The sequence below is a fragment of the Homo sapiens genome, chromosome 4 (assembly GCF_000001405.40).
Source record: "Homo sapiens chromosome 4, GRCh38.p14 Primary Assembly".
Taxonomy (NCBI): domain Eukaryota; kingdom Metazoa; phylum Chordata; class Mammalia; order Primates; family Hominidae; genus Homo; species Homo sapiens.
The window spans coordinates 49,020,810-49,037,941 of NC_000004.12; the positions used below are offsets into that span (position 1 = coordinate 49,020,810).

General features: G+C 39.9%; 1 protein-coding gene across 7 annotated transcripts in view; it reads left to right on the forward strand.

Annotated features, from left to right (window-relative positions):
* CWH43 (cell wall biogenesis 43 C-terminal homolog) overlaps positions 1-17,132 on the forward strand; it is a 75,805-nt gene that overhangs the window by 34,535 nt on the left and 24,138 nt on the right. For 5 of the 7 annotated variants that reach the window (XM_011513755.2, XM_011513758.2, XM_011513757.3 and 2 more), the window contains 3 exons: positions 7,820-7,925; positions 10,016-10,151; positions 11,757-11,963. In XM_011513755.2, coding sequence (XP_011512057.1) covers positions 7,820-7,925; positions 10,016-10,151; positions 11,757-11,963 — 449 coding nt within the window. The remainder of the gene's footprint in view (positions 1-7,819; positions 7,926-10,015; positions 10,152-11,756; positions 11,964-17,132) is intronic. The other 2 variants (NM_025087.3, NM_001286791.2) reach the window with 1 other exon arrangement.

A 17,132-nucleotide genomic window follows, 5' to 3' on the forward strand; every position in this document is an offset into this window, starting at 1 on the left:
TGATGTTGAGCATTTTTCCATATGTTTTTTGGCCATTTGTGTATCTTCTTTTGAGAATTGTCTATTCATGTCCTTAGCTCACTTTTTGATGGGATTTTTTTTTTCTTGCTGATTTGTTTGAATTCCTTGTAGCTTCTGGATATTAGTCCTTTGTCAGATGTATAGATAGCAAAGATTTCCCCCTACTTTGTGAGTTGTCTGTTTAGTCTGCTGATTATTTCTTTTGCTGTGCAGAAGTTTTTAGTTTAATTAAGCTCCATCTATTTATCTTTGGTTTTGTTGCATTTGTTTTTGGGTTCTTGGTCATGAAGGCTTTGCCTAAGCCAATTTTAAAAGAGTTTTTCCAATGTCGTATTCTAGAATTTTTATGGTTTCAGGTGTTAGATCTAAGTCTTTGATCCATCTTGAGTTGATTTTTGTATAAGGTGAGAGATGAGGATCCAGTTTTATTCTTCTACATGTGGCTTGTCAATTATCTTAGCACTATTTGTTGAATAGAATGTCCTTTTCCACTTTATGTTTTTGTTTGCTATGTCAAAGATCAGTTGACTGTAATCATTTGGCTTATTTCTGGGTTCTCTACTCTGTTCCATTGGTCTATATGCCTTTTTTTATACCAGTACCATGCTGTTTTTGTGACTAGGGCTTTATAGTGTATTTTGAAGTTGGATAATGTAATGCCTTTGATTTATTATTTTTACTTAGTCTTGCTTTGGCTATGCAGACTCTTTTTTTGTTCCATATGAATTTTAGGATTTTTTTCCAGTTCTGTGAAGAATGATGGTGGTATTTTAATGGGAATTGCATTGAATTTGTAGATTGCTTTTGGCAGTAGGGTTATTTTCACAATATTGATTCTACCCATCCATGAGCATGGATATGTTTGCATTTGTTTGTGTCATCTAAGATTTCTTTCAGCAGTGTTTTGTAATTTTCCTTGTAGAGGTCTTTCACCTCCTTGGTTAAGTATATTCCTAAATATTTTATTTTATTTATTTTTTCAGCTATTGTAAAAGGGGTTGAATTCTTGATTTGATTATCACTGATCACAGTTGGTGTATAGCAGGGCTATTAATTTGTGTACACTAATTTTGTATCTTGAAACTTTGCTGAATTCATTTACCAGTTCTAGGAGCTTTTTGGTGGAGTCTTTGGGGTTTTCCAGGTATACCATTATGTCATCTGCAAACAGCGACAATTTGACTTCCTCTTTATCAGTTTGATACCCTTTATTTTTTTCTCTTGTTCAATGTGCTGGCTAGAACTTTCAGTACTATGTTGAATATAATGGTGAAAGTGGGCATCCTTGTCTTGTTCCAGGTCTCAGGGGAATGCCTTCAACTTTTCCCTATTCAGTATAATGTTGGCCGTGGGTTTATAATAAATGGCTTTTATTACCTTAAGGTGTGACCTTTCTATGCCGATTTTGCTGAGGGTTTTAATCATAAAGCGACGCTGGATATTGTCAACTGCTTTTTCTGTGTCTATTGAGATGATCATGTGATTTTTGTTTTAAATTCTGTTTATGTGGTGTATCACATTTATTGACTTACTGATGTTAAACCATCCCTGCATCCCTGATATGAAACCCACTTGATCATGGTGGATTATCTTTTTGATATGCTGGTGGATTCAGTTTGCTAGTATTATGTTGAGGATTTTTGCATCTATATTCATCAGAGATATTGGTCTGTAGTTTTCTTTTTTGTTACATCCTTTGCTAGTTTTGGTATTAGGGTGATACTGGCTTCATAGAATGATTTAGAAAGGATCCCCTCTTTCTCTATCTTTTGGAATAGTGTCAGTAGGATTGGTACCAATTCTTCTTTGAATGTCTGATAGAATTCAGCTGTGAATCTGTCTGTTCCTGGACTTTTTTTTGTTAGCAATTTTAAATTGCCATTTCAATCTGGCTGCTTTTCATTGGTTTGTTCAGAGTTTCTATTTTTTCCTGGTTTAATCTAGGAGGGCTATATATTTCCAGAAATTTATCCATCTCCTCTAGGTTTTCTAGTTTATGTATATAAAGATGTTCATGGTAGCATTGAATGATCTTTTGCATTTCTGTGGTATCCGTTGTAGTATTGTCTGTTTTGTTTCTAATTGAACTTATTCTTTACTTGGGTTATCTCACTAATAGTCTATCAATTTTATATGTCTTTTCAAAGAGACAGCTTTTTGTTTCATTTATCTTTTGTATTTTTGTTTGTTTGTTTCAATATCATTTAATTCTGCTCTGATTTTTATTATTTCTTTTCTTGTGCTGGGTTTGGGTTTGGTTTGTTCTTGTTTCTCTAGTTCCTTGAGTTGTGACCTTAGGTTCTCTATTTGTGCTGTTTCAAACTTTTTGATACAGGCATTTAATGCTGTGAACTTTCTTCTTAGTACTGCCTTTGTTGTATCCCAGAGGTTTTGATAGGTTGTGTCACTATTATCATTCAGTTCAAAGAATTTTTAAATTTCCATCTGATTTCATTGTGGACACAATGATCATTCAAGAGCAGGTTATTTAATTTCTATATATTTGCATGGTTTTGAAGGTTCCTTTTGAAGTTGATTTCCAATTTTTATTTTTATTTTTTGAGATGGAGTTTCTCTCTTGTCACCCAGGCTGGAGTGCAATGGCACAATCTCGGCTCACTGCAACCTCTACCTCCCAGGTTCAAGTGATTCTCCTGCCTCACCCTCCCAAGTAGCTGGGATTACAGGCATGCACCACCACATCCAGCTAAATTTTGTATTTTTAGTAGAGATGGGGTTTCGCCCCATGTTGGTCCGGCTGGTCTTGAACTCCTGACCTCAGGTGATCCACCTGCCTTGGCCTCCAAAAATGCTGGGATTACAGGCATGAGCCACTGCACCCGGTTGATTTCTAATTTTATTCCATTGTGGTCCGAGAGATAGTACTTGCTATAATTTCATTTTCTTAAATTTGTTGACACTTGTTTTATGGCCTATCATATGGTCTATCTTGGAGAATGGTGCATGTGCTGATGAATAGAATGTATATTCTGCAGTTGTTGGGTAGAATGTTCTGTAAATATCTGTTAAGTCCATTTGTTCTAGGGTATTGTTTAAGTGTTTCTTTGTTGACTTTCTATCTTGATGACCTCTCTAGTGCTGTCAGTGCAGTACTGGAGTCCCCACTGTTACTGTGCTGCTATCTATCTCATTTCTTAGGTCTAATAGTAATTGTTTTATAAATTTGGGGGTTCCAGTGTTAGGTGCATATATATTTAGGGTTGTGATATTTTCCTGTTGGACTAGTCCTTTTATCGTTATGTAATGTCCTTCTTTGTCTTTTTTAACTGCTGTTGTTTTAAAGTTTGTTTTGTCTGATATAAAAATAGCAACTCCTGCTCACTTTTGGTGTCCATTTGCATGGAATATCTTTTCCACCCCTTTACCTTAAGTTTAGGTGAGTCCTTAGGTGTCAGATGAGTCTTTTGAAGACAGCAGGAACTTGGTTGGTAAATTCTTACCAGTTCTGCATTCTATATCTTTTAAATGGAGCATTTAGGACATTTACATTTAATGTTAGTATTGAGACGTGAGGTACTATTCTATTCATTGTGCAATTTGTTGCCTGAATACCTTGGGTTTTCTTTCATTTTGTTGTTGTTTTTTTAAGGTTCTGTGAGATTTATGCTTTATGGAGATTCTATTTTGGTGTATTTCAAGTATTTGTTTCAAGATTTAGAGCTCCTTTTAGCAGTTCTTGTAGTGCTGGCTTGGTAGTGGCAAATTCTCTTAGCATTTGTTTGTCTGTTAATGACTGTATCTTTCCTTCATTTATGAAAGCTTAGTCTTGCTGGCTACAAAATTCTTGGCTGATAATTTTTTGGTTTAAGGAGGCTAAAGATAGGACCCTAATCTATTCTAGCTTGTAGGGTTTTTGCTGAGATATCTGCTGTTAATCTGATAGGTTTTTCTTTATAGGTTACCTGATATTTTTGCCTCATACCTCTTAAGATTCTTTTTTTTTGTCTTGATTTTAGATAACCTGATGACTATGTGCCTAGGTAGTGATCTTTTTGCAATGTATTTCCCAAGTGTTTTTTGAGCTTCTTGTATTTGGTTGTCTAGATCTCTAGCAAGGCTAGGGAAGTTCTCCTCAATTATTCCCTCAAATCTGTTTCCAAACTTTTAGATTTTTCTTCTTCCTTGGGAATACTAATTATTCATAGGTTTGGTCATTTAACATAATCCTGAACTTCTTGGAGGCTTTGTTTATCTTTTAAATTTTTTTTCCTTTGTCTTTGTCAGATTGGGTTAATTCAAAAGCCTTGTCTTCAACCTTTGAAGTTTTTTCTTCTATTTGTTCAATTCTATTGCTGAGATTTTCCAGTGCATTTTGCCCTTCTCTAAGCGTGTCCATTTCTAGAAGTTGTGATTGTTTTTTATTTATCCTACCTATTTCACTGGAGATTTTTCCATTCATATCCTGTATCATTTTTTTTTTTATTTCTTTAAGTCTGACTTTACCTTTTTCTGGTGCCTCCTTGATTGGCTTAATAGTCAACCTTCTGAATTCTTTTTCTGGCAATTCAGTGATTTCATCTTGGTTTGGATCCATTGCTGGTGAGCTAGTGTGATCTTTTGGGGGTGTTAAAGATCCTTGTTTTGCCATATTAATAGAATTGTGTTTCTGGTTCCTTCTCATTTGTGTAGACTATGTCAGAGGGAAGATCTGGGACTCAAGTGCTGCTCTTCAGATTCTTTTCTCCCATAGGGTGCTCCCCTGATGTGGTGCTCTCCCCTTTTCCCCAGGGATGGGACTTTCTGAGAGCTGAACTGCAGTGATTATTTCTTTTCTGGATCTAGCTACCCAGCAGAGCTACTGGGCTCTGGGCTGGTACTTGGGAGTATCTGCAAAAAATCCTATGATGTGATCCATCTTCAAATCTCTTGGCCATGGATACCAGCACTTGCTCCAGTCGAGGTAGCAGAGGAGTGAAGCATACTCTGAGAGGGTCATTGGTTGTATTTTTGTTAAGTGTGCTGGTTTTGTTGGCCTCCAGCCAGGGTGTGGCACTTTCAAGAGCACATCAGCTGTGGTAGTATAGGCAGGATCAGGTGGTGGGTGGGGCCATGGAACTCCCCCAAAATTATGTCCTTTTTCTTCAGCTACCAGGGCCAGTAGAGAAAGACCATCAGGTAGGGGCAGGGTTAGGTGTGTCTGAGCTCAGACTCTCGTTGGGCTGGGCCGGCTGTAGCTGCTGTGGGAGATGGGTGTGTGGATCCTAGGCCAATGGAGTTATGTTTCCAGGAGAATTATTGCTGCCTCTGCTGTCTCACACAGGTTTCCAGAGAAGTGGGAGAAAGCCGGCAGCCACAGGCCTCACCCAGCTCTCATGCAACCCACAGCATGAAAGGCTGGTCTCACTCCAACCGTGCCCCCACAACAGCACTGAGTTTATGCCCAGGCAGCCGGTGAGCAGGGCTAGGAACTTGCCCCAGGCTACAAGCCTCCCAGCTGAGAAAGCAAGCCAACTCATAGTTCCTTGGCTGTCCCATGGACCCTGCAGCAACAATACACTTCCTTCAAAGGGTCTGTGGATTCCCTTGGCTTTCTTGGCATGTTCCTGTGGTAGTTCTTGGAGCAAAAGTTCATGGTGTGGGTCTCCGTGTGCTGCTCTCTCTGTTGAAGTGGGAGCTGCAAGTTAGTTTTGCCTCCTATTTGTCATTTTCCTGCCATCCCCAATATGTAGTCTTTTATCCTTTACCCCCTCCCACCCATCCCTCCAAGTCCCCAAAGTTCATTGTATAACTCATGCCTTTGCATCCTCATAGCTTAGCTCCCACTTACAAGTAAGAACATACGATATTTGGTTTTCCATTCCTGAGTTACTTCACTTAGAATAACGGCATTCAGACCCATCCAAGTTGCTGCAAAAGACATTATTTTGTTCCTTTTCATGGCTGAGTAGTATCCCATGGTGTACATATATACTACATTTTCTTTATCCAGTCATTGGTCGATGGGCACTTAAGTTGGTTCCATATCTTTGCAATTGTGAATTGTGCTGCTGTAAACATGTGTGTCCAAGTGTCTTCTTAACATAATGCCTTCTTTCCTTTTGGGTAGATCCCCAGTAGTGGGATTGCTGGATCAAATGGTAGTTCTCCTTTTAGTTCTTTAAGGAATCTCTAAACTGTTTTCCATTGTGATTGTACCAATTTACATTCTCATGCTGATTTTATTTTACTTGCAATGGAAGCCACTCTAGTGCCTCAAGCAGGAGAGTGAAGAAAAATGATATATGTCAATTTGGCTGCTCTGTGAAAAATGGATTATAAGGGGATGAGAACGGATGCAAGGAGATAAGTTCTGAGGCTTCTTCAGCTGTCTCATAGAGAGATGATGGTGATCTTTGCTGGTGTAATGGAAGTAGAGTTGGAGATAAATGGATAGACTTAGAATATATTTTGAAAGTAGAACCGATAGGATTGGCTGAGAGGGTAGATGTTGTTGGGTGAGGAGAAGGAAGGAATCAAGGAGACTTCTATGTTTTTGGTTTGAGCAACTGGATGAAGGGAGGTGGCATTTCCTGAGAAGAATGAAGGAATAACATATTTTGGAGTGATGACATCTAGAATTAATTACAGATGAATAGTTGTAAGAAAAAGGATAGCATGATAAATATAATATGTCTCTTGAAATCTCTGTTGATGGTTCTCCTTTCTTTACCAGGCAGTCATTAGATTTTTTTCTGTTTTTACCGTTTTAAAAATTATTTAAATTTTTTTGTCAGTACATAGTAGGTGTATATATTTTTAGGGTGCATGGGATGTTTTGATAAAGGCATGCAATGTGAAATAAGCATATTTTGGAGAATGGGATATCCATCCCCTCAAGCATTTATCCCTTGGGTTACAAACAATTCAATTACATTCTTTATTTTAAAATATACGATTAAGTTATTATTGACTATAGTCACCTTATTGTACTATCAAATAGTAGGTCTTATTCTTCTGATTTTTTTTGACCCATTAACCATTGCCACCTCCCTCCCTGAGTTCCCCACTACCCTAGTAGGTAATCATTTGAGATGGATACTTAGGGTTGGGCAGCGCATTATCTGACTCACTCACGACCTAAGAGAGGACCTTGTAAAGGGGGCTGTGCTCCTGGGCCTTGACCTTTCCAGTACAGCAAGGGTGTTACATCATTCATAACTAGGTTAAAATAGGCTGACCACTTCTTCAATATGTTGAAGGCCCCTCTGTATCCCTCTGTGTGATTTATTTCCCATGCAAGAGTAAACACTATCCTGAGTATTGTGACTTTTTTTAGCACTTTCATGAATTCCTTTTTATTGTTACTATATATGACAGATCCCTAGACAATATTTTTTTCTATATGACATCTGATGTATCTATTTTGCAACATACTTTTTTTTTAAATTTAAAATCATCTTTCTGAGATTCCTCCTTGTGGACCTATGTAGCCCTAATTCATTTATTAGGGCTGTGTAGTGTTCCATTCCACATAGCACCATTTGTTTATTCATTTTCCTGTTGATGGACAGCCAGGCTGTTTCTAACTTTTTACTGTTATAAGCAGTGCTTATTACAAAACTCACTTTTCAAACATCCCTCCTAACTTCCAAACTTAAGCTAGAAGTTCACAGAAGACTAATTTGAGAATGCCATATAGCAAATATCTCCTTATTTTCATGGATTAAATGTGGGAAAATGTCTAAGGAAATTCCTTTGCTGAAATAAGAAATTTGGTAGAGAGGAGTGGAGAAAAGTGGGTCACTGAAACTGCCATTGTTCACAGTCATCCTAAACTACCATTAAAACAATTCCTCAGGCACCAACCAAAGAGGTCTCTGCTGCCATCTGGCCTTTCAGGTTTGGATATGACAATGAAGGGTGGTCTAGTCTAGAAAGATCAGCTCACCTGCTCAATGAAACAGGTAAGTCTTCCTGGAATTAGTTCCAGGTTTTGAGAAACTATTATTGTTACTTTTATTTTCAGCAGGGTCATAAGCCATAACTTAATGCAGGTATTAGATTAAATTTATGACCAGCAGATGATCATAAACTCACCTCAAAAATGCTTTACTTTGGCACGCAGCTGCAGGGGGACTGAGCTTCTGTAACCACTCCTGTCTTTGTTTGAGAGCAATTAATTCAGTTGATTCTGAGCAACTCCTCATACTGAGTATCTTTAGGGGATTCATGTTGTGTTTTTGTTCTTAGGGATGCCTCTGCTAGTAGCTTCTGTCACCTGGGGACCCACTGTTGGGGACCAGAAGACTTGGATCAAAAGGCAGAATGGGTTGTAGGGAAAAGAAAGAGAGATCAGACTGTTACTGTGTCTATGTAGAAAAGGAAGACATAAGAAATTCCATTTTGATCTGTACTAAGAAAATTGTTTTGCCTTGAGATGCTGTTAATCTGTAACTTTAGCCCTAATCCTGTGCTCACAGAAACATGTGCTGTATGGAATCAAGGTTTAAGGGATCTAGGGCTGTGCAGGATGTGCCTTGTTAACAATATGTTTACAGGCATTATGCTTGGTAAAAGTCATCGCCATTCTCCATTCTCGATTAACCAGGGGCACAATGCACTGCGGAAAGCCACAGGGGCCTCTGCCCAAGAAAGCTTGGGTATTGTCCAAGGTTTCCCCCCACTGAGACTGCCTGAGATATGGCCTCATGAGAAGGGAAAGACCTGACTGTCCCCCAGCCCGGCACCCGTAAAGGGTCTGTGCTGAGGAGGATTAGTAAAAGAGGAAGGCCTCTTGCAGTTGAGATAAGAGGAAGGCCTCCATCTCCTGCATGTCCCTGGGAATGGAATGTCTTGGTGTAAAATCCAATTATACATTTGTTCTATTCTGAGATAGGAGAAAACCGCCCTGTGGCTGGAGGTGAGATATGCTGGCAGCAATGCTGCTCAGTTACTCTTTGCTACACTGAGATGTTTGGGTGGAGAGAAGCATAAATCTGGCCTACTTACACATCCGGGCACAGTAACTTCCCTTGAACTTATTTGTAACACAGATTCCTTTGCTCACGTTTTCCTGCCGACCTTCTCCCCACTATCACCTTGTTCTCCTGCTGCATTCCCCTTGCTGAGATAGTGAAAATAGTAATCAATAAATACAGAGGGAACTCAGTGACTGGGGCCAGTGCAGGTCCTCTGTATGCTGAGCACCGGTCCCCTGGGCCCACTGTTCTTTCTCTATACTTTGTCTCTGTGTCTCATTTTTTTTCTCAGTCTCTCATCCCACCTGACAAGAAATACCCACAGGTGTGGAGGGGCTGGCCCCCTTCATGGGTCAGAGGGAGGTTGATTTGTGAAGCAAATTGCTTTCAACAGGCCTAGGGCCGATTTGATTTGTTTCAGTGCTCCGGGGTGCTCATTTTTGTGTGAAGCATCTTTGAAATCTGAGAGTGTTTTTGGTTTGTAGACCAACTACGGGTGTATGGAGCAGGATAAGTAAAGGACTAACCTGTTCTGGTTATTCTTAATGATAAGCGTGCCTCCTGAGACATATGAGTGTCTATATGGATGTAATACCACTAAGACATTTTTTTGCCCCTTAGCCCTTTTTTAGTCTGATTACAGGCTTCCAAGGCACACCTGGTCAAGATCTAATAAAGCCAATCAACTTAGTTCTGGGTCAGTACTATGGAGCTGTTTGTGCTGGAATAAAATGCTATGGTGCACCATTCTCTTGTTTCTGAACATAAATTGGATATTTGAGAAATGCATTAAGATTATTTGAAATTTTGGGAATGATGTTGAGCACATTTGAAAATTTTTATCCTTCTTGGTAGTTCCTGGAGGTGTTTCATGTTTTAATTGCATTCTAAACGTGGGGAAATTCCTTTAGAGCTCAGATTTGAGCCACTTCTCTCTAGTGACTCACTAATAATTACTTTGTTTTTGGGTTTATCAGTAAAGAAAAAAAGGTTAAGGGTCAAGAGTAAAGTGTTGCTAATTGTTTTTTGCCTTGCTGTGATTCATCACTGTATGCTACTTTTTTTTTTCTGAACAGGTGCAGATTTCATAACAATTTTGGAGAGTGATGCTTCTAAGCCCTATATGGGGAACAATGACTTAACCATGTGGCTAGGGGAAAAGTTGGGTTTCTATACAGACTTTGGTCCAAGCACAAGGTATCACACTTGGGGGTGAGTATACCTTGGGAGTTAATCCCGAAGATAGTCATGAAAGGCTAGGCTGCATAGGCTTGGAGTGGCAAGTTGATATTGTAATATCTTTGGTGAATGTGCCCCAGTGATGCTTCTTGGGGGATGAGGAGGTGCTGGAGATATGCACATTCTGTAATTTTTCAAATGGTTTTTCTGTGGCTGGATATTTCCAGTTCTTCAGCATTATAAACCAATCAATCTAGGAGCTGAGGTTGCAGCACCAAGCATGTCTGGCCTGGATGCTGTCCTCATGGAGCTTACCTTCCAGTGTAAGACAGAAAATCAACATGTACACAAAAAAATAAATAAGGTACTTCACAATCATGATAAGCGCTGTGTAGAAAAGAAACCACTGAGGGAGAATAAGTGGGTGGGCAGTGGCCATGGAAATGCTACTATAGGTAGGGTGGTCAGGAAGGTCTCTGCAAAGATATCATGGTGAGCAGGACCCAGGACCAGCCTTGGGAAGAGCTGAGGGAACAGTCAGGGTGAAGACTGAGGCAGGATCCATCTTGGTGTGCCTGGAGCATGGGGGGCCAAAGAGCAACTGGTAAGAAAGGAAGTCAAGGATGGGAACCTGATCATAGAGAGCTCCATTTTATCCAGTTGTGATTGGAAGCCACTGGAGGATTTTAAACAGGATAGTGATCTGGAAGAACAGATTCTCAGGGGCAAGAGTGGGAGCCAGGAGGCAGAGATGATAGGTGGAATAGCACAGATGAGAGATGACAATGGGAACAGTGGAGATGGTGAGAAGAGGACAAACTCAGGAACTATTTTAGAATAGAACCAACAGAACTTACAATAGTTTAGATGTCAGGGGAGGGGAAGGAAGAATCAAGGGTGATGTCTAGGTTTTTGACCTGAGTACCCGCTAAGAGATGATACCCTTTAATGGAATGGGAACCATCAGGAGACCTTTAGGTTTGTGCTAAGTGTGAGATACCCCAAGACAGTCAAGTCATGCCCAGTAGGCAGTTGGGTATGGCCTGGAGGGCTGAGAAGGACAGACCAGGCTGGAGATGTACCTTCAGCTATCATCGTATAGAGATAGACCTGTCTCAGAGACTCCATGAAGGTGACAGAGAATGCGTCTAGCTATGGAAGAGAAGCCTGCCAAGGACTGAGCTCTGTGGCTTAGAGTGAGGTGGAATGCCTTTTCATATGCCTATAGGACAGTTTTTCATTTCTAATTTTGTAAGTTGTTACTCCATGTTCTAGCTGGCAAGATTGTACCTTCCCATATGTGTTGATTAATATTAGAATTGTTTATGCAAATGTGTTGCCAGAGTAACTGCAAATACAATGGGTTTTTTGTATTACTAATGCTGCCCTTTTCATGTGTCCATAGCACTTATTAAAACAGAGTTGATGGTGTTTCCTTAGTGACACAGTGAGACATGCTATCAGATGAAATGATCTGACAAATGGACTGCCATATAAGTCTCTGCCGCATTGCTTTGAATGTCCCTTGGTGGGATGTGTGCAGTGGGACACATCCCTTTTTAATGCATTTGCTTAGTCCCAGTGCATGGTAGAATGGGACTGACAATGATGCCCATGTCTCTTTTCATTCCAATACAGGATTATGGCTTTGTCAAGATACCCAATTGTGAAATCTGAGCATCACCTTCTTCCGTCACCAGAGGGCGAGATCGCACCAGCCATCACATTGACCGTTAACATTTCGGGCAAGCTGGTGGATTTTGTCGTGACACACTTTGGGAACCACGAGTGGGTTTCTTTGGCCCACCTAATATTACACAAATGCCAAGAAATGTTATTAACAATGTACTTTGATTTCTATGAAATCACCTTTCTCATTTTCTTCTTTTTTACCTCCCAAAGTATTTCTCCCTGCGTTGCTGGTTTTAAAAATCAGACAGAAGCATTTAAGATGCAGGCAGCCGTTAGTGCTGGTGTAGGGACAGGCCGTGTTAGTCTGCATTTACTGAGCTGTACAGTCAATTCCCTGTGCAGGGGCTGTCCAAAGTGCATTACTGTGTTTGCTCTTCACTCTGTGTAGGGTAAGCACTCTTAGAGCCCCGTTTTGCAGGTAAAGAAACTAGGCTTAGAGAGGTCAGACAACCCATCCAACCAGGAGCAAGCACACAGCCAGGGCATAGGCAGTCCCAAACCCAGGGTTACAAGTGCTTGCAACCACACAATAAACCAGACAACAGAAAAAGAAATTTCCTTTTCCTGCAGGATTACTGCTACAAATGGAAGTACTGTTGGGATTTGAGGTTGTTAAATGACATCTCTTCTCTCCCTCATGTTTTCACAAACAACAGATAGGCAGAGGAATCTGGAAGAGGGAGATCAAAATATCACTTTGAATACTGATAAGCCTATTTGGACAACCTGGCTTAAGTGCCCATATGGACTTGTGAATACATGCCTAAATATACACGAAACTGACTCCCCCTAAATGGTGGGCCTACCCTGCTTGCCCTGGCAAGCTCTCTCCTTGATGGAAAGAAGAGGACGGAAAACAGCCTGTCTGCAAACTGGCAGCTTCCAAGGAGAATAGAAAAGAAGGATTTGAGACAAGCACGTGAAGTTAATTTCAAGATTATTGAATTAGAAAAGTCCTCCCAAAAAGTAAAGAATGGGGAGAGAGGCCAGTGATGGTTTTCTAAAGAAGTCCCTCTACACGCAACATGAAGAGTGGGGAATGAGTTTTATCCCCAAAGAATAACATTTACAACCAGTGACAGTACTGAATAAATCATGAATAATCCCAGCAATATATTGTAAAAGCAAACATAAAAGTATGTAACTTATACTTGACCATACTAAACCACAATAATTTAAACATGAATATAAAGAGCTATGTGCTATGACATTCACATGCAAGCTTTGCCTGCATTAATGACATGAGGCCACAGAACTTTAAAGAGACATACTTTAGGAAAACAACGTTGTTGTACTATAAGTTTTATTTAAACAAATTGGTGTGTGTGCCACTCTTATTTCCCTGGTTACCTCACTGTTTCTAACACTATTATGTGAATCCGTGAAAGCATATTTGAATATTTTCTTAAAAAACTCAGATCATAAATAATATAAATAAACCATCCAAATATAATTAATATGAACCATTTATGAACCAGACTCTTGCTTACCTCCTTAGAAATAAGAAGAGTGTTTGGAGGATGGATGATATAGATGGTTCATATCTCTTAAAAAAGCTGTTTGAAGAAATGCTTTCTTTTTTTCCCAGTGATTTTCATGTAGCAAGTACAGGCATTCAGAAATCATTCCCATGACCTTATGTTGTACTTAACATTGGGTTTATCTTTAAAAAAAATAATACTTTCATGTTTAAAGGTTGCAAGTTCTCAACCTAAGAAACAGTTTAACTCCTTCCCTTTTTTCCTTTGCCTTTTTCCCCGTCTCCTTTAACTCTCTCCAATATATCCCAAAATGTAAAGAATAGGTTTGAAAAGGAAGAGAAAGCTAAAAGAGAGCCCTAGGAATATGCTTGGAAAAGAGGAGGGAAGGATTGCCTTTTCTCACTTTCTGTTAACCACCTACTTAAAGCTCTCTGGATAACACCATATCCTTTACTTGCTGTCTTGCTCATTTGATTCAATAATAATGACAACAATAGCAGTAACAATAATAGTGAACACTTATTGATGATACATAACTCCAGGAATGAAGGCAGTGTAATTTAATGATTAAGAGCATGGGATTCCAGAACCTGGAATCAGACAATCTGGTTTGAAATCTAATTCATTAACTAGCTGTGTATCCTTTGCTGAGTTTCTTAACTACCTTGAGCTTTAGTTTTCTCATCTGTAAATCAGTGCAATAGTCCTACCTATTTCATGGGGTTCTTGTGCCCATATTACCTCATGCAAAGTACATGAATGTAGTAAGTGCTCAATTAACACTGGCCATTACTAAACCAAATCAGACAACTATGAATATAAGGTATATTGGGCAGCTTAAAAAATAATCCATTTGTCAAACATGAATCAAGCATCTGACATGTCCCAAGCACACAGCTAGACTCATTCCTTGCTTTAGGAACCACTGCTCTGAGCCACTCCCCAGAAGTACTGTCTGGGACACTGTAGCCTCCCAACAAGCGACATAGGAAAGTTAACACCTTGAATAATTTGTGACGTGATCACGACATGTTTTATTTGTCTTTGTTTTCTACAGTACTAGATACACAAATTCTTACTGTGAATAAATATTTAGAGATTTCGTTTTCCAGTGATTATGGCATATAAATGTGAAAATCCTATTAGGAATGAATAATTTCTAATGCTTGTGCATGTTATTAGCTGATTCAACAAGATTTTAAAAAGTACTGACTGCACAAATATGTCTTTTACAACCACTAAATAGGAAATAGCAGCATTTTTTAGAAGTCACTCAGGCAAACACCATAATGAAAATTGATATTATTTTAGGTAATTAACTGAGCCACTAATCACCATTTAAAGAAATCTATAACATGCATCATATACAAAGAGGAGAGAACACAGAATCCATAGTCTGACACTATGTGACACAGAACCTATGTTCTAGATTTGGTTCCGTGGCGGTTAACCTTGGTAAGTTCCAGTTCTTGTGTCTCTGGAAATGGGATAAAATTCTCTTTTCCAGCTTACTTTATAGGGTTATTGGACCAACAAAATATTAACAGATAAGAAAACATAAAGCATATGTGAGCTCTCTCTCTTTCTGTCTTGACCTCTTTCCTTATACATATACTTTTTACTTTTATTACTCTCACTAGGTAAGATTTATCTCCTGAGAAAATGTAAAACCAAATTCACAGATTACTTCCAGTTAGAATATATTGGATTGGAATCCAATATATTCTACTAAAATATATTGGATTGAAAACACTGCCTGTGGTTAGTAGCTTTGGAATTTTCTGGATCTGGATTTGAATCCTTGTTGTAGGTATCAGAAGGAATAGAATTCCCTGCAGACCTAATGAAAGAACTACTTAACAAGATGCTGGAGGGACCCATGGAACAAATAAGAGAGGCTGAGGCACTCAGACACTAGTTAACAGTGGGGAATCATTACCTGCCTTAAGGCCGAAGGAACAGGCAGAGAAAACAGTGTTCCCAGAGCCCAGTGAGACCCAGAACCAGGACAAGGGACCACCTGGCATAGAATGCAGCTACTGCCAGAGGGACTGGGGAAGGAATCCCTGAATGTTGCTCTTCTCCCAACGTTTAATCTCCCATTGATGCCTCCGATTGGCCAAACCTAACTGGAAACCAGCAGAGAAGGAAGTCCAGGAGATGAAATCTGCAGGGGTCAGCCTCTCAGGGCATAGAGAAAGGACAGAGGATGAATGTGGGCTGGGGAAATGAAAAATAACCATAGGCATATTAGCCTCATTTAAAAATAGAGCTACCACCTGCCTTCTGTTGTGAGAATTCAGTAGCAAAGGGGTTTAACAAATGGCCGTCCTTTTCACTCTTTTATTTCTTGAGACATCTTTTAATAGCCCTCAGCTATTTTTATCCAATTCAGTCCTGTCTTGAGATCCTAACTCAACAAGGTTTCTCCAGTCTTCTCAGTGCTTGGTGATCTTCTATTTTTCTTTGTCATTTTCCCCCTTAACACTCATGTATTAGCTACCTTTCTATGTAAATACCTGTGTTTGACTACTGCCTATCTGTTCTGGGCACCATTCCTTGCTCTTACTCTCAGCTATGCATTGCAGAGAACTGCATTTCCCACAGTCCCTTGCCTTCTGGCTTCTGGGTAGGTTTAGCCAATGGGAGGCACTAGTGCAAGGTTGGAGGGAGTAGAGAAGCGAGTGTATTTCTCTCCTTCTCTCTCTGCTTCCTCTGGTGTCTCTGGGAGGAGCTGAGTCTCTTCTGCGGCTCCAGCTCTTCTTTGTATGGTCCCAGCTCCTCTGGGAAGCCTCCTCCATTGCTACATCTCCCACTAGTCGGTGCTGGCTTCTGGACTCTGATAATATCACCTCCTCTTGTTTTCCCTGTAGCTGTAGAGGTGGTACTGGTTTCTTATTGTTATTAATCTCTGATTGCCTCATTGACTCCTATCTGGCTTCCCATCGCCTAGCTAACCAATTCCCTATATTAAGTTCACTTTGTTTGAAACATCTAGGGTGTTTCTGTTTTCCTGGCTGGATCATGTAAAATATGATGTCCTATTTTCCCCTAAACTCCCCAGAAGCTTGATGTACCCACCTAAGTATCTCAGTTATAGGTTTACAGTGCTTAGCATAATAAAAGCACCATGTTCAGCTGGTGTTTGAGCAGGAGAGCCAAGGAGGCTTTCAGAAAGTGTTCAGTTGGGCTGGGCGCAGTGGCTCACGCCTGTAATCCCAGCACTTTGGGAAACAAGGTGGGTGGATTGCTTGAGGCCAGGAATTCAAGACCAGCCTGCCCAACATGCAAAATGCTGTCTCTACTAAAAATACAAAAATTAAGTTGGGCATGGTAGTGTGCACCTGTCATGCCAGTTACTCAGGAGGCTGAGGCAGGAGAATTGCATGAATGCGGGAGGTGGAGGTTCCAGTGAGCCGAGATTGTGCCATTGCACTCCAGTCCGGGTGTCAGTGTGAGACTCTGTCTCAAAAAAAAAAAAAAGTGTTCAGTTGAAGGAGCTTAGGTTACATAAGCCTGATGGGCTCTGTGAATGTCAGGATTCTTCATCTTACCAGTATTCCTGGCTCTTTTTACTTTTTTAAACTACTAATTCTTTAGCTGTAATACTGATGGTGAGTTATCACGTTAGTGATTTCATTTCTTCTGATGAAAAGTTGAACAATGCTGTATTTAGAGTAGATCTTTAAATTGACTTGACTCCAAATGACTTGTGAAGAAAGGTCATGTTCTTAGCCAAATGTCTGTCAGCCTATTCATTTGAAGTGCTGTATCTAGGTCTTGTTCATTTGTATAATGTTAAGACAGTTGCCCGAGTAGGAATGACTCTGGGCTTCTTCAC